General features: G+C 42.0%; 1 protein-coding gene across 1 annotated transcript in view, besides 2 other annotated features; it reads left to right on the plus strand.

Annotated features, from left to right (window-relative positions):
- Positions 245–745: an enhancer, noted in NCBI's record as "H3K4me1 hESC enhancer chr13:96741684-96742184 (GRCh37/hg19 assembly coordinates)". NCBI's record gives its function as "activates a minimal SCP1, AML or CMV promoter by ChIP-STARR-seq in naive H9 embryonic stem cells {active_cell/tissue: H9 hESC(naive)}" and the evidence as "EXISTENCE:reporter gene assay evidence [ECO:0000049][PMID:30033119]".
- Positions 746–1,246: an enhancer, noted in NCBI's record as "H3K4me1 hESC enhancer chr13:96742185-96742685 (GRCh37/hg19 assembly coordinates)". NCBI's record gives its function as "activates a minimal SCP1, AML or CMV promoter by ChIP-STARR-seq in naive H9 embryonic stem cells {active_cell/tissue: H9 hESC(naive)}" and the evidence as "EXISTENCE:reporter gene assay evidence [ECO:0000049][PMID:30033119]".
- Positions 922–21,955, plus strand: part of HS6ST3 (heparan sulfate 6-O-sulfotransferase 3) — a 749,456-nt gene continuing 728,422 nt past the window's right edge. The window contains exon 1 of the mRNA NM_153456.4: positions 922–2,384. Within this exon, the coding sequence (NP_703157.2) occupies positions 1,678–2,384 (707 nt within the window). The 5' untranslated portion in view covers positions 922–1,677. The remainder of the gene's footprint in view (positions 2,385–21,955) is intronic.

The following is a 21,955-nucleotide window of genomic DNA, read 5'->3' on the forward strand; positions in this document are numbered from 1 at the left end:
ACTCTCCACTCGGAAAATAGGTCGAGCAGGTCTAGGGACTGTGGTAGGGCAGTTACAACAATTTGATCGTATATCTTTTCACTATCTGAAAAACAGAAGTTGTTATTGAGCAAAGATTTAGTTCTGGGGTAATACTAAATGCAACATCTAGATGTTTGAAAAATAAAGTTTCCAAAAAACATCTGCATACAAATTAGGGCTTATGAAATATAGGCAAGCTTAAGTGTTATCTTCCACCATTGTTGGGAAGGAATAAATCTTGAACATTTAGGAGTTCAACGTCTATTAGTAGAATGATTTTTTTAGGAGGTGATCCCTAAACTCCTTTTTATGTTCTAAGTACTGCATGGTTGAGGGCTGGACTGTCTAGTGCTGAAAGAAAGTGTGTATTGAACATAGAGCCTGATACACAGTTAGGCGCTTAATGGTTAATTGATGCTGGTTGAATACAGTTGTATAGTTGGACGCACCAAGTTTGTTATTAAGGGAGGACCACCATAAAACTCGAACACCAGTTAGAATGTCTTGGGTAGAAATTCACAGCAGTCTGGAGCCACGTTCCCCTGCTGAGAAGGGAACTGCCAACCCGTGTAAAGTCTGGTCTAGTGAGTGTTCCCGGGAGTGTGCAGGTGTTATTCCTGAAAATAAGGCCGGCCACTACCAGACAGAGAAGCTGCCCATTTTAAGGTGTCAGATCAACGCCAGCGACGCTTACCTCGGGGCCTCCTCTCGCCCCACCTTTGCCTTTCTGCCAAATCTCTCCTTGCTCCCGGCCGAAGGGATTCCCACCCCCAGCTGCCTCCTCCGAGCCCCGCGGAGCAGCGGACTCCTCCCCTGGAAACTCCTCCGGGGCTGGGGGAGGCTTTGGCGCATGCTCCGTACCTAGGGCAGGTTTTTGCTGCGGGTAGCAGGGCTCCTGTCACACCGGCTGGCGGGTTGTGGCGGTGCCAGCCTGTGTGTGCGAGTGTGTCTGCGTGCCTGCGCCTGGGCGGACAGCCCGGAGCGGCAGTGCGACTCGCCGGGAGAGGCGTCTCCGCAGAGGCGCCTCGCCCGCTGCCGCTGCGCTGCGGGGGCCGCTCTGCAAACTTGCGGCGAGCGCCGTCAGCCCTCGCGGCTCCACAGCCCCGCGACCTGCCGGCAAAGGCGCCGGGCGCGCGTGCCGGGCGCGGTGCCCGCGGCCGGCCGGGGCGGCGGGAGCGGGCCGCGCCTTCGCCCTTGGCCGGCGCCCTGGCGAGCCTCATGCAGCCCCGGCGCTCGCGGCCGCAGCTACCCGGCTGCCCGGCTGCGCGCGGCAGGTCCAGGACCCGAACCCCGCTCCCCAGCGCCTGAGCGCCTGCAAGCCGCCGGCGGGATGCCGCGCGTCGCCTGAGAGAGCCGCGCCGGGGCGGGAGCAGGGAGCGGGCCGGCCCGGGCGCACCCGGGAGCGCAGGGCGCCCCACGCCGCAGCCGCAGCCGAGCGCGCCGGCGCCCGCCTCCCCCGCCCGGCTCGCAGGCCCCGGCTCCTCAAGCCCCGAGGGCCGCGGGGCCGCCAGCCAGCCACACGCCTCGGCGTCAGGGGCATGGAGGAACGGCGGGCTCCGAGCCGCGCCCCGGAGTCCGCGAAACTTCCGAGCGGGCGCCCGTCCGCCCTGCCGCCGCCGCCGCCGCCGCTTCGCCTGCCGGCCTGAGAGCGGGACCATGGATGAAAGGTTCAACAAGTGGCTGCTGACGCCGGTGCTCACTCTCCTCTTCGTGGTCATCATGTACCAGTACGTGTCCCCCTCCTGCACCAGCTCCTGCACCAACTTCGGGGAGCAGCCCCGCGCGGGGGAGGCCGGCCCGCCCGCCGTCCCGGGTCCCGCCCGCCGGGCTCAGGCGCCGCCGGAGGAGTGGGAGCGGCGGCCCCAGTTGCCCCCGCCGCCCCGGGGGCCCCCCGAGGGACCTCGGGGGGCCGCGGCGCCGGAGGAGGAGGACGAGGAGCCCGGAGACCCCCGGGAGGGGGAGGAAGAGGAGGAGGAAGACGAGCCGGACCCCGAGGCCCCGGAAAACGGCTCCCTGCCCCGATTCGTGCCGCGCTTCAACTTCAGCCTGAAGGACCTGACCCGCTTCGTGGATTTCAACATCAAAGGGCGCGACGTGATCGTGTTCCTCCACATCCAGAAGACGGGGGGCACCACTTTCGGCCGGCACCTGGTGAAGAACATCCGGCTGGAGCAGCCTTGTAGCTGCAAAGCGGGTCAGAAGAAGTGCACCTGCCACCGGCCTGGCAAGAAGGAGACGTGGCTCTTCTCCCGCTTCTCCACCGGCTGGAGCTGCGGGCTGCACGCCGACTGGACGGAGCTCACCAACTGCGTGCCGGCCATCATGGAGAAGAAGGACTGTCCCCGCAACCACAGCCACACCAGGTACTGTCGCCCGCTGGGTCTCTGTTCTTCCCCCCCACCCCCCATCCCTCTTCCTCAGTCCTGACCCAGAGCGACCCCGCGCTCCCTGCCCCTGCCGATGGTTTCCTGGCGTCTTCAGCGGTTGGCGCCGTGGCTTTGGGGAGGGATGAGAAACCTCCGGATAGTGCCTAGGTCCTGAACTCGTTCTTCCCCCAGCCCCCACCGCTTCCCGCCACCCCTCTGCCTTCACCCTCTAAGATGTGCGGAGCCACCGTGTGGATCCTGCCTGTTGCCTAGCACGGCCTGGCCTCCCTCCCAGTGGACGCTGGAAAAACGCCCTGAAATGGGGAGCGGATCGCGGTCTGGGTTAGACCAGCCTTGTAGAATTGTGAACTTAAGTTTTGGGAGTGTAAACCCAAACCCAGGAAAAGGAAGGGGGAGTAGAGAGGCAAGGCACGAGTTTTCCAGGCGTGGTGAAGCTGGAGACGAGTATAATCCCTCCCTAAGTGGCTTTTGGATGGCAGCTCAGGAAACAGTCAATCCTCTTGATGCCACTTTGAAGACACACGTGCAAATTCCTGTTCTACCGCGATAGATAACTCTAATTCTGGAGATGGTCTTTGTTGCCCAGCAGTGCCAGGATTTGGACTCACCTGTCCTCAGAAAGATTTCCATGCTCTTCCTAGGCCATTACATCAACTTATTCCAAAAGTATGTTAAATGCCTACAGGGTGCCTGACAGTGTGCTAGGTGTTAAGTGAGTATAAAGATAACATAACATCCCTTGTTTTCAGGATGGAATGACATTCTTGATCCCCTGCCTCCCAGCCTTAAAAAACAGTAATACAGTGGAGAATTAAGAAAGTTAAAAATCTTAATAGCCAATGAAACTGCTTACATTATTAACATGCTTTGAGAGAGACATGGGCTTAATAATTTGGTTGAAGGTCCTTTCTGCCCATTGCAATTTGAAGATTAATCTGACATGCTTGCTAAAGGACGAAAATATTAAAAGCTTGGAACACTAGTTCATTGAAGTTTTTATCTTAAAGGTTTCAAACAATTTGGTATGAGGAAATAGGAATTTAAAAGCTCAAGCTGATTATGTTGATATCCCAGATAGCTTTTGCATTTGACGTTATAGAAAAGCTTCATTTACTGGAAGCTACCCAGATTCTGGAATTCACCACCACTGAAGCATCTAATTCTACTTCATTTCTCCAAGAATGAGCAAAATTTCATTATGAGATTTTTTACTCTGGCAATTCTTCAGATACTTTCCTTCCTCCCTGCTCCTTTTCCTGTTTCCTGCACATTAGTTAGAATAAGAAACTGGATTTGGAATGAGGGAATTAGGCTCTTCTCTTAGTATATTTTACGGATCCTTTGCTTTTAAATATTTTTAATAGTGTATTACTTTGGATCTTGCCACTCTCTTTTAGCTTAAAACAGTTTTTCAATTAAGTATTACTTCCAAACCTCCTAACACATAACACTATTACTTCAGTGAGACACAATTTCTGCTACATTTCATCCAACCTTGTACTCCCTGTTTAGATTAATTCCTGATTGACCTCAAAGGGTTTGCTAGACTGCTTCCCAGCTTCCATTTCACTAAAACTGGAGTCTTATTGATTATCACATAGAAATGTCTGATTACTCTTCAGTAGGGGCTGGCATTATTTTTGTCCCAGGTTCATAAAAGTCTTAGTAAATAGATGAAGATTTTAAAGGACTTAGAGGAGGATGTGGAATCTAAAAATAATTAGATTTTTGCTTAGTGATGAATAATGTTACTACAGACCCTGAATAGGTGACAAGCAGTAAGGTCTCACTTCTATAGGAAATACTTAATATCTCTATTCTGTTGACACAGGAAAACTCCACTGTGACTGTTTAAACATATGATTTCTAGTGTATGATCAAGTTATTTTCTTTGTTTAGTAATGGAGCATAAACATTCACTTCTCCCTGAATCACAGGTTAGCAGGCAATTAGTCACCCTGTTCTGGTTTCCTTTCTTTCTAAAAAAAAAAATTTTTTTTTGGTAGTATTTTGTTTTTACCTCATTTTATAATCCTTTCTTTTCCTTCCCACCCTCTCTCTCTCCCCAGTAATTCTCAATTACTTCCTTGCTCTAGATACTGTAGGAGGGAATAGTTGTGGCATATGTGAAGTGCCCTGCATCAAAAGCTATAGGGAAAAAGTTGAAAGGATGTTAACAGTAGCATCTCTCTAGCAGAGAAGATTGAATTAGTTGTCTGTCATTGTAATGTCTGTGTACAGCATTCTACAGTCAACTAGATTAGCCTGGATAATGGAGGGTACCTTTTCACAATGCAAAATGGCAGATAATCTATTGGTACATAATGGGAACAAGGTTCTACTTCAAATAGGGCTGACTCTAAGCAAAATTGATAAGTAGATCTTGTTGATTTTGGTTCCCTAGTCTTTCTGCTTTTGGTCCCCCCAAAGCGCCTCCTCCCAATTTCACTCAGAGATCAATGCCCTTATGGATCACATAATGGATAAGAGTAAGGATTCTGGAGTCAGATAAATATGGCTCTTGTACTTACTAGCCATGTACCCAGGAGTAAGTTACTTTTTCTGAGTCTCAGTTTCTTCACTTTTAAAGTGTAGATAATAATTAGTATGGCCATTATAGGGGTGTTGTGAGAACTAAATGAATCAATGCATGCAAAATGCTTAGCATAGTATATATGCGTAGTATAATATACTGGCATATCGTGCTTACTATGTAGATATATAGTAATACTGCAATATCAGTTGTTAATTGCAACGATAGGTTCCCCACTCAAGGCCTTCTTCCTAAAAAACCATGAGGTCCGTTTCTTAGAGAAGATCTGTATAAATGGGTCACCTTACAGAGATACCATTTTATGATTACTTGTATTAAGCATCCTAGGTTGCAAACTTAAACAATAAGTTGAAAATTATGGACATTTGGACATCAGTCTTTGCAGGGGGCAAGGTGGGGAACAAAGTTGGGGGCACACAATATAATTGGATATACATTCCGTTGGTAACACAAAAACTATCTGGAATGGTGAGCGAGGAGGTGAGAACATCTAGGACTGAAGGCAGAAGCAGGAAGCCAACTCTGAAAAGAAATACATGGCAAACTTCAAGGGGCCATCATATGGATTATGTGGGTCATGAAGGGGCAGGACCCCGGGCTGGTGGTTTGAATCCAGCACAGAGGTAACTTCTGACCACAGAAACTGGTTAGAATAGGATGGTGGCACATCGGAATTACCTCTTGTATCATATCACTGATGATTTTTTCCCATTATTTTTGTGTTGCTTTTCCCCCTCAGTTATTTTTTTGGCAGGCCATTCTTTCTCACTCTCTTTATGCTTCCTTCTTTATTACTGTACGCCCCTTAATCTGCATGTCCAGAGCCTTAAAAGACTCCTTTTTAGCATTCTTGAGTATATATAGAATCATAGCATTTTATGGCTAAAAAGGATTGAAGAGAGAATCTAGTCCCACATTTTTCATGGGGAATGTAACCATAAAAAGGTGAAATGATATACCTAAGGTTTCTTGAGGGAATTCATGTCTCCATTTTCATAATTTATATTCAATGTTTTGCTTACTATATATCTTGTGTTTACTATGGAAAGTGCAGTGGAGTGTGCCTTAAGCACCTGCTTACTATGTGCCAGGCACTACGATAGTTCTGGGAATTGCATTTTGAATATTGGCAGCCCTGTGTAGCCTAGGCTTCATCTCTGGTAAGTGAGTATCTCTCCCATTCTTAAATAATGATGGAAAGATATTCTATCTGCATCATTTTGTAGGATAGAATGGCAATTTTTCTCTTTTATAACGTGTATTCCATTAGTTTTGTTAGAATAGTTTGAACCCTGTGGATGTTATATTAAATAGGACCTTCTGTGTTGCAGGTTATACCAACCTAACCCAAATTTATTTCAGCCAGAGGGGAATTATTGGCTAACCCAGTCACACCACCGGAAGGTTGGGGAGAGGTGGTTTCAGGAATGACTGGAACTGGAGATTTGGGGTCTTTCTTCCCATACTCCTTTCGATATTGATCTCATTCTATCAAATTGGCCAATTCCACAAGATGGGCAAATGTTCTTCATATCTAATAGCTCCACAGCCGAGAGGGAAGCAGGCCTTCTCTTAGTTCCAGTTTGAAATTTTGGGGAATGACTCTGATTAGCCCAGCTTGGAACTTGTGACTATTCTTTCAGTCAATCATTGTGTCCAGAGAGAGAGATAAGGTTATCTGACTCACCTTGTATCACAGAACCATTTATATGACTGGTGTGTGTGTGTGTGTGTGTGTGTGTGTGTGTGTGTGTGTTATCAGGAAGAAGAGGAGCTGCCATAGATACAGCTGCTGGATGGACCACTGGATTCTGGACAACCCCTCCAACTGTGTCAATTGTAGGTGCAAATACATGAGAAATAAATGAACCTTCAGATCTCTTTTTTTTTTGTATACCACTTAGGAAAAATTTTAAGTCAAACTGCAACTCGAATTTATTTGCAGCATCTGGAAACCATGTCATATGAGAATTAATTGAAAGAATGTGTAATATTTAATATGGAGATGAGAAAAATAAGGTGAGACATAAAAGCTTCCTTCAAATAGTAAAAGGAATGAGATATGGAAGGTGAGGGAGGCTTGTTCTGTATTGCTCCAAAGGATAGAACTAGGATAAGAACTGATGGGATTTCAACTCAGAGTAAGAAAGAACTTAATAAAATTTATAACTGTCTAAAAAGAGCATGAACTCTGTGATGCTCACTCTCAGTAAAAACTTGAGGAATGTCTGGGTAACTACTGATGTTGTAAAAGGAATTTCTTCTTGGGGAAAGGGTTAGCCTGGATGGCCTTTTATTTTAAGTTTCGTTAGTTCTAATGTAAGCTGAGTGTGGGGTATCTTTCTTCTCCTCCTTCCTACCCCATGCTTAGAAAAGAAAAAAAGGATTATAAATGAACTAGTCCTCTAGCATTTGTAAATATTTCTACCAAGGAAACTTTTTGTAAAGTCTGATGGTATAGACTGTTTTACACATTCAGGGCCAAAAGCAGTAAATGGGTCCTGTGTATTAGGTCGTCTGCTTCTTAATAATAAGTATAAAAAGATAAGATGAGAAAATATAACACAACTTGCCACAAAAACCAGAACCACTTTGAAACATTGTCTGGTTATTGCTTTTCCTTTAGACAGCAGGCTGAAATATATAAGGAGGTTACAGAGCTCTGTTTCAAAGACTAGACTATTATGGCCTGTACTGCTTTCTAAAGCATAAGCTGTTTGATGTCTCTTCTAATTAGAATTGTTGAACTACCAAGAAGGTTAATTTTTACCATAAGGTTTTTGTAGTGTAAAACTAAAGAGCAGTGTAAAACTAAAGAGATATGAGATTGTTCTGTCTGTAGGCCATATCTACTGATTTGTTCATTACCGAGTCTCCTAAAATACTGCTTCTGCTTCAAACCAACAATATTTGCTATAAATCAGAAAGAGGTTAAATTAAACCCTGTCAGTTTTTTGAGTAGTGAAGACATGAATTGGAAGTGGTAAATGGTAATAGATGATTTATGCTTCTGCCTTCTTCCTGATGGTTACCTTGGAATTTTGATTGGGTTGATTTTAGAGAAATTGAAATGTTTTCATAATAGAAGTGAGGCAAATTTAGCTGCCAACAATGTGGATTTGCTTAGTCTTAGACTCTTATATTAATATTCCCCAAAGCTAATTATTATCATCTCATTTTGACTAAAGACAATCAGAAGCTTATGGCATTTGAAAGTTATTTATGCTTGATAATGAACTAAACAGTTTAATTGAGACCGGCAAATCCTAATGTGATTTTAAGAGTCATGAAATAAATTATTGGGCCAAGAAATAGGTTCAGTATGAAAACAATTAAATGGAAAATCCAAATTAATATTTTGTAGTAATCACTTATCTTGTTTTTGAGTTCGTTAGATTGTGGATATCATTTATAAATTCCCTGTTGATTTTAATTGGCCAAATTAATGTTTTGTAGTAATCACTTATCTTGTTTTTGAGTTGGTTAGATTGTAGATATCATTTATAAATTCCCTGTTGATTTTAATTAGCTAATACAACTTTGTTTAAATTATAGCTGAGCATTCATGTATTGGAAGGAATAGTAAACATTTTTTAACTTGGACAGTGTTATTTGTTTTTATCTTCCTCTGGCAAATACAGTTGCTCAGTTGCTCAGTAAGACACATATAAAGTGCCCAGCATAGAGATTAATTTATAGAAGATTCTGAATAAATGTCGGCTTTTAGATTACCTTGAAAACATAGCAGCATAACTTGACAAGATTGTGTTATTTAAAAGATAGAATTATCAAAATTCCAAATGACTCTGTTATTTCAGGTGCAAATTCTGATTATTAGTGGTTGCCTTCCATAATTAGCAAGATGCCCACTCCCCGGATTGTCTAGAAGAGAAGTAAAAGTAAATATGGAGACCAGAGCTTATTGGACTTATTGGACTTATTGGATTATTGGACTTATTGGACTTGTTGGACTATTGAGGAGGTTTCTCCTATTAGACTGTATGCCACACATCAGAAACTCATTTGTTTACTGACAGATGTATTTGCCTCTTGAAAAGGTTAATGTAATCATTCATTTGTGCTTTAGAAAAAAATCAGCCTAAACTGAGAGGATGTGAACTCTGATGTAGGATGGAAGGATGAGAGAGCTATATATTAATATAACCTCTGGTTTATATAGATGCTAGATTACTACTGGTCAAGGCTAGGTGGCTGAGGTGGTGGTGGTTGGAGATCGTAATATTGGAGAACAATAGAAAGATATGATGAATTAGGAAAAAGACTTCAAGAGAGGTTGGAGGAAAACAATGACAAATTTATCAGCCACTGAAAATCATGCAAGTGCTTGATTTGTGACCGTAATTGGGGTAATGTTTAAAAGCATGGACCCTGGCCAGGCATGGTGGCTCACACCTGTAATCCCAGAACTCTGGGAGGCCAGGGGTAGGTGGGTCTCTTGAGCCCAGGAGTTCGAGACCAGCCTAGGCAACAAAGTGAAACCCTATCTCTAAAAATAAATAAATAAAATAAAAGCATGAACTCTGAAGTCAAACTACCTGGATTTTAATCTGATTCAGTCACTTACTGTCACGTGGCCCTGGGTTAAGTCAATTATCTGCTCTGCACTTCAGTTTCCTTCTCTGGAAAATGTCGATAAGAAGAGCACTATCTCATGGTGAGCTTTGGTAACCCATGTGGTACTCTTAGGACAAAGGCTGACACATAGTGAGGAAATCATAAAAGAGTTAGCTATTATTATTTTCTCCTGAGACTCATCTCATGCATATATGTTTGTTGTTGTTGTTGTTGTTTTTGAGATGGAGTCTCGCTCTGTCACCCAAACTGGAGTGCAGTGGCACGATCTCTGCTCACTGCAACCTCCGCCTCACAGGTTCAAGCAATTCTCCTGCCTCAGCCTCCCGAGTAGCTGGGATTAAAGGCGCCCACCACCATGCCCGGCTAATTTTTGTATTTGTAGTGGAGACAGGGTTTTACTATGTTGGCCAGGCTGGTCTTGACCTCCTGACCTCAGGTGATCTGCCTGTCTGCCTCCCAAAGTGCTGAGATTACAGGTGTGAGCCACCACACCCCAACACATATATGTTGTTTTTATGTAAAAATAAAATGATAGCTAAACCTGTAGCATCTTTTTTGAATTTGGAACTTCTCCTCCTGAATAGTGTAAAAATGAATTTTCAAGCTGTGATGCAAAAGAGAAGCCGTAAATGATAAAGTCAATGTTAATTCTTAGGATGCTGTGGATATTCACTGGGCACTCAGTCCAAGAATGGAAACTTGCAGTCTTTTTCCCCCCCAGCATATAGTTTTATTTTTTATGGGAAATTAATGAAACAGCAATAAAAATGTTTAAACATATACAATTAAATTCATACATGAAGCAATCCTGCAGTGAAATTGAATTAGTTGCCTGTGGGCACGTAAATATTTGTAGTTCATTCCTATTATTAATATCTTACCATGCTTTTATTGGTAAGTACTGTGTCATTTGTTTTCATAACCTTGCATTTGACATTGTGTATTTATGTTTGCTCCTGCTTTCTAGTTTTCTTATAAACATCAGAGGGTATAAATGCTAATCACCTCGATGTCCTCGGTATTTATTTATTAGATTTACAAAGTATTTCTTCCAAATAATTAAAGGTTCTGGATATTTAAGCGTAAACCTGAGAGATGGCATCTGTATTTTGTGGACTCTAGGAATGTGTAGAAACTTCAAATGTGAAAATATAGACCTAGAAAGAAGAGCAAACACGGTTTGAAAGAAAGACATGTGGTAACTTAATGCGTGTCTGTAAATCTGAGGGTAAGAGCCCCATAATATAGTAAAGAACAAGGTGACATGCCAAGAAAGAGATATCACACAGTGATCATATAAAGTGTAAATTGGAAGAATGATACAAAGGAGGGAGAGAAGAAGAACAAAAATAGTCAAGGTAAAGAATGAAATCCTAAAATAACTGAATCAGAAAGAAGGTAATATTGAACATAGAAGACAGAAATTTATCTGGTATGCAATGGTTTGTCTCAATGCTGCAGTTAGGGGAAGTAATCCACTATCCAGAAGGCTATCTGATTTGGAGGTCGAGTATATTTAAGTGCTACTAATGTATATTTATCTACTTATGCATTCATTTTCTGTATCATGCTGCTGTTTTAAAGTATTGGTAGCTTTACAGTTCCTGGCAGCAAGCAGAGGCACACTTTGGGATTTCAAAGGAACTAGTTTGAGAGGTATGGACAGGGATAGGGAAACCAATATTGGACCTCAAGGTACCTTGCAACCAGTGACAAGAGGAAACTGTTAACCCCATTGGATGTGAAGAGGCAAAAGGAGAGAACTGTGTTATCAGTATTTTTTGCCTGCTGGTGGCTGACAGGAGCTCCAGTTTCAGTAGTAGGAGAGAGCCGAAGGAGAAACTTCTGGAGAGGAGGTGTTTGCAGAAAGCAGCCACTGCTAGAGCTATAGAGCAGAGGCCAAGAGAAAGGAGTGGGAGTGCTTTCTCCTCCCACCTGTCCATTTCCTCCTATTGTCTTCCAGAGTGAATCCACTTAGAAGCTAAAGGGCAAGAGAGCTGATGCATTCTGTGGCCTTCAGCAAGTCAGAGAAAGATGGAAAATGGATTTGGGGTCCAGTGATGGGAGGGATGAAAATGGAGACTAACTTGCACAGTGTCTGAAAATAGTTTGAAATTTCTTCTAATTCAGTTTATGGATGCCCTGTTGTGTTCTACAAATGAGACCAAGATCGGATACCCCATATTTTAGTACCTGTACTGCATGATTTTCTGCATGGACCATTAGTCTCCACCTAAAGAATGATGAGTGCAGCAAAGGGCCGCTCTCCAAAGGAACAGTTAGCACAGACAAAGTGACTTTTTGCTGAGTAATAAAAATCATGCTAATTTGGGTGTTTTGTCATCTTAGTACCCCAGAATCATCTGATAATAGTGACAGATTTGGCCAGTCGTATCTATATTATGATGCACAGTAGACAACACACATTTTATAAATTTGAAGTTATGTAACAATATTAGTTAAGGCATGACAAGTAGTTTGCAAAACTGGCTATAGTTTGCAAAAACATTTACGAGATGAGACCCTTTCTGCCGCTTAGATTTTCTTCCAAGAGCATTAAAATTCTCTAGAGTAATATTTATGAGCTTTAAGTCTCTGAAGGTAATAGGTGAGGGAAGAAATTCATTGTGTCATGTTTGAAACTATCCTCATATTTTTAGTTTTAATTTTAAAGGACTTTTGAAGCAATATTTCCGCATTTATTTTGGGGGAATGTGATATGTTGAAAGTACACATGCATGTACCTTTTGGTGCAAAATATTATGAAAAGCTTCTAATACTAGATACTAAAAATATTTACATAAAATTGGTATCTGACAAAACTTGGCACAAGAACCCTCAATTCACTGCTTGAATTCTGAGAGTCAAAATGCCATCAGCAAAACACTGTTCAACATATATATTTATAGATGACAAAATGCATATCCAATACCATGTCTGTAGGCAGTATATCTATTGACATTGGTACATATATGTCACGTTCATTTCTCCCATCCAGAGGAGGGGATTTTGAGTTGCTGGAAACAATGCCATCCATGGAGAATATACCAACCTGAATCTTCTCTGTCATTGTACCGCCTTACACGGAGCTGTCTTTTCTCTCCTCTCTCTCTTTCTCTCTCTTGCACGTGCACATACACCATTTTATGACATAGCTAGAGTCATCAATGGCCTGTAAACAAAAGGATCATTTTCAGGTCTTTGTCTCTGAGGCCACAAAAAAGTTGCCTGCGGAATTGTTTTCTGCTGGCTATGAAAGTTATTAGTTCTAAGGAATGTGCACTTTGTTGGTCCGAATTTAAGTCCAGTGAATTTAGAAAATCTGGGAGAGGTATCAGAAAAGGTATTTTTTTTTCCCCACACAGCTTCCTTGAGTTCCTTATTGTGCCTTCTGTATATTCGATGAAAGAGGTGGACTAATGGATATTTCTATCTGTAATATTCCTATGAATAAACATTTCTGTCACTACTTTTATTGATAAATGTCAAAACTACTTGTGTCTAAAAACTTCTCACAACATGAAGGAACCTGTGTACATTGGAAGTGTCCAATTTATTATTGGGTGCATTCTTAATTTAAAAATATTTGCTAGCTGGGTGTGGTGGTGGGGGCCTGTAGTCCCAGCTATTTGGGAGGCTGAGGCAGGATAATTGCTTGAACCCAGGAGGGGGAGGTTGCAGTGAGCCAATATCGGGCCACTGCACTCCAGCCTGGGTAACAGAGTGAGACTCTGTCTCAAAACAAAAAATAAAAATAAAAATAGTTAACTCTCATAGACCATTCTTTGTCTTTTAAATTCAGACTGAGGCCTAAAACACCACTGCAGATAATTTCTTTGCTTTGAAGGTTTTATTCTCCAAGTTCCTTATGTGTGCTATAAAGAATAATTAATGTAATGAAAAAATCAATATTGTGTATAAATTATTTAGGCTTTACTATCATTGTAATTTTCTCTTCAACACCTATTGATCGGCAACAATTCATTTGTTAATTTCTTCCTAATAAGATATTCATTGTATTAGGTCTGTAGTAGTGCTGTCCCTGCACTTTCGCAAGCAAGTCATGAATTACTAATGATACATGGAACAAGTTAACTTACTAGTGAGTGGTATGAGATGGAAAACAGGCAAAGGGAGTAATTTGAAATGCAGTCCTATAGAAACACTGTGTAGGCAGACAACTGCTAATAATTCAGTGAGTATACTCTTGCAGGATATTAATTTGTACTTTAAAATTTTATCGGTACGTGTTTTTCTTGGCATATATGTGTTTTCTTTTTAAAATTAATTTTAAAAATCCATGATTCTCTTTTTTTGAGAAGGGGGTGGAGGGGCCGGTTTTCCCTAACCATTTACAGTAATGCCCTGAAAATGATGGTTATTAAACAGTGTTTTGACCGTTGATAACAGAGTTACTTCAGAGTTTAGGGAAAATCTGAGACCTTTTTAAAACCTAAAGAGAGATGAGTCCAAGAAGAAATCAAACTACCAAATTCATGGCAAAGAGAACTTCTGCATTGCATAATTTGGCAGAGTGGTATCCAGAAAAGACCTCTAAATTTGTAATCAGGCAACCAGGATTTGAATCTGGGCTTCCTCACTTACTCGTTCACTTATTTATTATATCATTTCCTGCCAACATATCAGTTTCCTGAGGTTGGTGAGTTTGTGGTCTCCTCTGCATTATCAGTGCCTAGAGTAGTGCCTGGTACATAATGGCTGTCAAACAAATGTTGACTGAATAAACGAAAGAATGAAGCAAGCGTAAATAAATTTACTAATTTATGAGACAATTTGGATAAGAATGTGTGCCCTATATCCTGTTTTTTTGGAGTTGTGGGGTGAGAAAATGACTACGAAGGCACTTCGTAAATTATACAGTACTGTGCTATACAAATTTAAATTTATATTGACGTAAGAAGGCTTTTGATATAAAATGGAAAAGGAAGGAAAGTTGGATTTTGAAAATGCAATGAATATGTAATTCAGCTTTTATAGAGCATTTCAAAACACCGGAATGACAAAGATGAAGTTGAAAATATTCAAAATACACATTTAGCTCAACGACTTGTTAGAGTAATGAGCAGTTCCTTTTAAAACAGGACATTCTATATCATAAATGACTTATCTAAGTGCATAAGTCTTTCGCTTAGACCATCAGGAAACCTTTTTTCCTCCTAGGGATTTGGCATAGATCAAGGTTTGAGGTGTTTTTTTTTTTTTTTTTTTCCCATTGCTTTACCCTTTTGAGAAAATTATCATGAAATTAATATTTTAAATTTTGTGTTCATGACTGTATATGATAGAGATAAATTATAGCTACAGGTTAATATGTCCTGAAAGTGACCTGAGAATGTAATTTTTCTTCATTTAAGAAAATGAAGAAAATTTCTGATTTGAGAAGACTGTTGAATTGTTCTATTCATACTTGGTTTTGCAGTTAATTACAAAGAAAGCACGAAGTTACTTTAGAATAGAAAATAAAATCTTCCAGAATCTAAAGTTTGCATTGCAATAAGATCTACTGGCAGAATAATTTTTGCTTCTTAATGAGCTGATTTTCATATGTGAAGCCTAGTACTGATCAACTCCAGGATATGACAGATTTCCATGGCTTGAGACCTGGAATACATGGAACTTCTGGGCTGGAGTAGGTCTTGGAGGAAGGTCAATAAGCTGATAGAAAACCCTAAGATTCACACTGTGATTTTCACGCTTTGACATTTGTGGACTTGCTGACCCTGAAGGAACTGCCTCTCCTAGGGTTAGCTAATTCCTAGAGTTAGTAAATGACTCACCTTCCAGCACACTTTTTGTATGCAAACCAACCTATCTAGAGCCCACACCCCTAACTACTTGCTTTAGTGGGCTCTTGCAATATAGTCCACTATCCCACTGCTTTAATCACTCCAGGGCCAGACACCAGACAACTGCCCCAGGGCCTGCTGAAATGATTCAAACTGGCCAGTCCTAAACCTGCTTACCCTGTCTCACTGGTTTCTTTCCATGGATACCACAATAAAGGCTCTTGGCCGTGTTTTCCCCTCTCCCTTGGCTTCCTGACTGACCCCTGTGCTTCCCTTTGTGGCCCGGTGTGGTGTGGCCTGCTTCTTATTTCCAGGGATCTCCCAGGGAGCATAAAATCCTTCTTTTTCATGATGGTTGTTTATGTGTCTGCTTGTCTTACTGTACTTGCCTAAAACAAAGCCTGGGTATCCTTAAAACAGTTATCAAGATTGGAAAGGACACAATAATGTACAGGGCAAATAATGTAATTATTTGCACAGGACAAATAATGTAATTAACCAAAGGCATAAAGATGGAAAAAAAAAAAAAAGAAAAAGAAAGAAGAAAAGTGCAGAAGCCAGTGATCAGAGTACAGGTGCAAAGTCAGATTGAGACTAGACATAGGATCAGACTAATTTGTGCTGTCACACCCATGATGTGACATGGATGTGGATTGATTTGAGAGATTGGAGTCGGATCAAGTCTCCAAGTCACATGGTTCTAAGCTGTGGAAAGACATGGAAGTAGGAGGAGGGAGGGAGAGAAGGGAAGGGTTTACAGCTGTGAAACCCAGCAAAACCTGACACAGACAATTCCTTATAATTTAAGTAATATTATAGGCCAGGCACAATGGCTCACACCTATAATCCCGGCACTTTGGGAGGCTGAGGCAGGTGGATCACTTGAGGTCAGGAGTTTGAGACCAGCCTGGCCAACATGGTGAAAACCTGTCTCTACTAAAAATACAAAAATTATCCAGGCATGGTGGTGGGTGCCTGTAGTCCCAGCTGCTTGGAGGCTGAGCCAGGATAATCATTTGAGCCCGGGAGGCGGAAGTTGCAGTGAGCTGAAATCGCGCCACTGCACTCCAGCCTGGGTGACAGAGTGAATTTCTGTCTCAAAAATAAAAATAAAAATAAAAAAGTAATGTTATAAAACATTGAATGGTTAGCAAGAGAGATATAATAATGTTTAATTTTGAAATTATTTTCTTTCTATTGCTAACTAGATTGATTGGTTCATTCATGCTTGTACATAGCCCAATACCAGACCCTGTGAAGAATACAAATTGAGTAGAATACTTGGTCCTGGCTTGCAAAGAATGAAATCATCATTATGTAACTCATGGACAAAATGACTTGGAAATATTTACATCACAACATTTTAGTTAATTCCTGGTATTGTAATCAGAACTATTTATAAAATTGCTGAAGAAGGCATTTGCAGTAATGAACAAGGCAGGCAGTGAAGGGTTTATATTGACTGAAGTGATGGGGTGATATTGGATTGGTTGTAGAGCTGTATATAGAGGGTTCTGAAAATATGCTAGGCTGAGGAAATTATTTTTGATTCAATATAAAATTTAGAATTACTTAAAACTCTTAAGTAGTAGTAGTTGTTAAAGTATTAACGTCCAATAAATTCTCTGATACTCTTTCCTTGAAGATGTGAAGCTTAATGCATCCCTTCATGCCCTGTATTGGCTTTAATGACTTGATTCTAATTAATAGAGTACAACCGAAGAGGAGATGAGATGCCCCTTCTGAGTTTAGGTTATAAAAGGACTGTGGCTTTTGTTTCAGTGTACATGCTCTCTGTCTGTCTCTTGCTCTCTCTCTCTCTCTCCACTTACTCTGGGGGAAGCTGTGTTCTCAGCAGCACTATAGAGAAGCCTACTTGGCAAGAAGTTGAAACCTCCTTCCAACAGCAGTGTGAGTGAGCTTGGAAAAGGATCCTTCAGCCCCAGTCAGCTCTTTACAGACAGCAGCCTTGTGAGAGACCCTGAGCCAGATATGAACACTAACAAAAATGAAAAAACAGAGTAGGGTGATATTTTTAAGAAGATAAGAGACAATCTGATCACAGAGCACAGGAAGTATCTCATCTATCTTCTTCCCTTTTTAACCAAAATGAAGGCAGCGTATTTGAGTACAGATACAGGATGGTTGGTGGAATTGACAGTTGAAAGATGGGATAGTTCTAATCTGATTGCATCTCTTTTCTCTATGAAGTACAAAGCAAGGTCATTAGCTGAGAGTCGTGAGGAAAGGGAAGGAATGTCGGAAATTTGAGAAGAGCAGAGATGTGAATAATTATCTTAGAAGTTGGGAAAACACATTTCCTAGGGAAGTAAGTTGTCTGGCAGTATTGAGTTCTGTTTTGAGATCTGTGATTATACATTTGAAATCAGTCCAGTTAGAATGGTTCTGTAATTTTCTTCAGTAACATTTAACTGTTCGGATAGAGGCAAAATTACACAATTGGGTTTAACCAGCACTGGAGTTTTACCCAGTGAGTAGCAAGGGAGTTATGGATATTTGCAAGGGAACATTTTAGTGCCAGATCTTGTCATTTGTTGGGATATAAGCAAGGATATGAGGTTGGGTGATACACAATAAGAAAAGTGGTAGGGTCAATATTATATGTTAAGGTTGATGATAGTATGGGGGTTGTAGGAGTAGGAGTGCTGGAGAGTTGGTGTAAGTGTGCTGGACTGTAGGAGATAATGGTCAAAGAAAAGGGCATTTGAAATTGAGATGCTGGAGTGGAGACTATTCCTTGTATGGTCTCTGTAAATGGCTGCCTAAGATGGGGCAATGAGTGATCATTGGTGCTAAGAAGGTGAAAGAATGGTCGGGACAAGGTGTTGGATGGGTTATCCATGAGAATATTGATGTCAAAAATGATGATAAAAGTAGAGTTGGAGAGGAATGTAGAGTTGGACCTCCTGGTGCTGTAGGTCAGGAGGTCCACAGTGCTAGCCCCAGGGGTGAAGGGTGACAATGATATGACATGTGCTCCAGAAGACTGTGGGAATATAATTATTCTTTCCTCTGCAAGTCAGACTTCTCAGCTGTTCAGTATTGCAGGACTGTGGGAAGTGTTGCAGGAAGTCAGGGACCCCAAATAGAGGGACTGGCTGAAGCCATGGCAGAAGAACATAAATTGTGAAGATTTCATGGACATTTATTAGTTCCCCAAATTAATACATTTATAATTTCTTACGCCTGTCTTTACTGCGGTTTCTGAACATAAATTATGAAGATTTTGTGGACATTTATCACTTCCCCAATCAATACTCTTATAATTTCCTATGCCTGTCTTTAATTTAATCTCTTAATCCCATCATCTTCGTAAGCTGAGGATATATGTTGCCTCAGGACCCTGTGATGATTGCATTAACTGCACAAATTGTTCGTAAAGCATGTGTATTTGAACAATATGAAATCTGGGCACCTTGAAAAAAGAACAGGATAACAGCAATGTTCAGGGAACAAGGGAGGTAACCATTAGGTCTGACTGCCTGGGAGCCGGGCAGGACAGACTCATATTTCTCTTATTGCCGAAAACGGGTAAGAGAAATATCGCTGAATTATTTCCCTAGTAAGGAATATTAATAATTAACAGTCCTGGAAAAAGAATGCATTCCCAGGGGGAGGCCTCAAAAATGGCTGCTCTGGGAGTGTCTGCCTTATGCAGTTGTAGATAGGGATGAAACACACCCTAGTCTCCTGTAGCGCCCCCAGGCTTGCTAGGATTAGGAAATTCCAGCCTGGCGAATTCTAGTCAGACCGGTTTTCTGCTCTTGAACTCTGTTAAGATGTTTATCAGTGACGATGCGTGCACAGTGGGACATGAAACTTCATCAGCAATTCTAGTTTTGCCCTGGCCTTGTGACCTTGCCCTGCCCATTTGCCTTGTGATATTTTATTGCCCTTGAAGCATGTGATCTCTGTGACCCACACTTTATTCGTACACTCCCTCCCCTTTGAAAATCACTAATAAAAACTTGCTGGTTTTGTGGCTCGGGGGCATCATGGAACCTGCCAACATGTGATGTCTTCCCCGGACACCCAGCTTTAAAATTTCTCTCTTTTGTACTCTTTCCCTTTATTCTCAGACCAGCCGACACTTAGGGAAAATAGAAAAGAACCCATGTTAAAATATTGGGGGCTGGTTCCCCGATAGGAAGGAAAGAGGTAAAGGACAGAGAAGAGAGCAGAAAATAAAAAATAGGAAAGATAGAAAAGAAGTAGCCACAGGAAGTTAAAGAAAGCATTGGAAGAACCTGAATCCTGCTCTGTAGAGAAGGGTAAAAAGCTCCTCATCCTTCAGTATCCCATCAGGTGCATGGGAACTCCAGGACAGTAAGGAGGTCACAGGGCAGCATTCCATGAAAGGTTAAATCTGTGACAACCACTCCTATCTCTATCTCTATCTCTATCTCTATCTCTATCTCTATCTCTATCCCTCTATCATCTGGATCTTTATATTGTAACTATGTTTATGTTTAACTCTATCATAGTTAGCAAGAAATGGTTAAAAATTGTTCAGCATTCATTCTTTATGGGGGAGAAAGCAGAAGCATGAACAGTATTTGTAAAGTTGGCTATCTAAAGGCATTTTTACATTTTAATCTTTGGTGAGGGACAGGTTTGTCACAAGCATTGCCCGATACATGAGATTTTCCGGTAGACAGATGACCTCACAGAGAATAGAGTCTGACTATTGGATGTGAGCTGGGCCCTAGTGTCTGGAAACCAACTGTGACTCAGCAGATCGTATGTCAGTGTGTGAGTGGATAGGTCTCTGGGAAATAGAGGTTTCTTGAGGAGGCAACTCACGTTCATAAAAATGGGTTAGACTATTTGAAACCACTTGTGGTTTTGATGAGATGGGCTGGAAGAAGGATGCATTAGAGGATAATTATTACAGTTTCCAAAAGGTTATGCATTGCTTATGTGTGCAAGGGAACTCATTCACAGATTGGCCTGTGTTTTGTCTAAAGCTTGATTCTCTCCACATTTAGAAAGCTACTTACATTTATCAGAATCTGATATCTGTTTGTTCTGTTCTGGAGAAGTGTTAGAGAAAGTAAAATAAGTTGCACTGGTGTTAGTGACTTTGAGGTATCAGGGAAGTCAAAGGGGATGAAGGAAAGGCCTAGAAATGAAGATCCAAAAGTGGCCCAAGATAGCTGGGATAGGAGGGTGCAGATGGTGAGCTATGCACCTCAGTCAGTTGTTTATTAAGTCCTTACATCTAGTGTTCAGTAATATGGCATGTCCTGGGCAATGTGAACCACTATCTAAGTTATGATGTGAGCAGGTTGGAAGTGCCGGGTACTGGGCTGGGCATTGGAAATAAAAAGGTGAATCAGATATTTTCTTTTTTCTCAATGAAATTACAGTGGGCAGCCACCAGTATGCAGTGAGGGATGTGCTGTGGTGTGGGCACAGAGCTGCAAAGCACAGAGGCAGAGCATAGCCAGAGTGGGAGAGGCTTCTGAATTAGTCCATTTTGTGTTGCTATAAAGGAATACGTGAGGCTGGGTAATTTTAAAGAAGAGAAGTTTATTTGGCTCACAGTTCTGCTGGCTATATAAGCATGGCACTAGCTTCTGCTTGGCTTCTGGTGAGGCCTCAGGAAGCTTACAATTATGGAAGAAGGCAAAGGAGGAGCAGGCACATCACATGGCAAGAGAGGGAGCAAGAGAAAGAGGAGGAGGTGCCAAGCTCCTTTAAACAACCAGCTCTCTTGTAAACTAACAGAGTGAGACTCACTTGTGATCATGTGGAGGACACCAAGCCCTTCATGAGGGACCCACCCCCATGACCCAAACACCCCCCTCCAGGCCTCACCTTGAACATAGGGGATCACATTTCTTTTCTTTTTTAATTTGTGTGTGTGTGTTTTTTTTTTTTGAGACGGTGTCTCACTCTGTCGCCCAGGCTGGAGTGCAGTGGCACCATCTTGGCTCACTGCAAGCTCCGCCTCCCAGGTTCACACCATTCTCCTGCCTCAGCCTCCTGAGTAGCTGGGACTAGAGGTGCCCACCACCATGCCCGGCTAATTTTTTGTATTTTTAGTAGAGATGGGGTTTCACCATGGCCTCAATCTCCTGACCTCCTGATCCCCCCGCCTCGGCCTCCCAAAGTGTTGGGATTACAGGCGTGAGCCACCACGCCTGGCCGGGGATCACATTTCAACATGAGATTTGGAGGGGACAAATATCCAAACTGTATCAACCTTTTTGGAGGAAATGGTTGAATTATAAAGGGTCATCAGAATTCAGAATAAAGAGTGGTTAATTTTCCTTGAGGGGTGTGGTGAAGACTTCAGAAGCAGTAATTCAGGCACTGTGCACAACTTACTTACCTTTCCAAGGAACTTTTCCCAGATCATTTTCTCACCATTCTTCCCCCATTTGTGTCCTGATGTGTCTTGATGACATGCTGTTTGCTACACATTGACTAGTATAAAGATATACCATAGGTGATTTATTATTAAAAATATTAGAAGTACCATGGTTTATGAAAAATGCTTATTTTAAAAAATAAAATTAAAATTCTAGTTGACTGTGCAGGATCACTCCCATGTTCTGTAATGC

Source organism: Homo sapiens, chromosome 13 (assembly GCF_000001405.40).
Source record: "Homo sapiens chromosome 13, GRCh38.p14 Primary Assembly".
In the NCBI taxonomy this organism is placed as follows: Eukaryota; Metazoa; Chordata; class Mammalia; order Primates; family Hominidae; genus Homo; species Homo sapiens.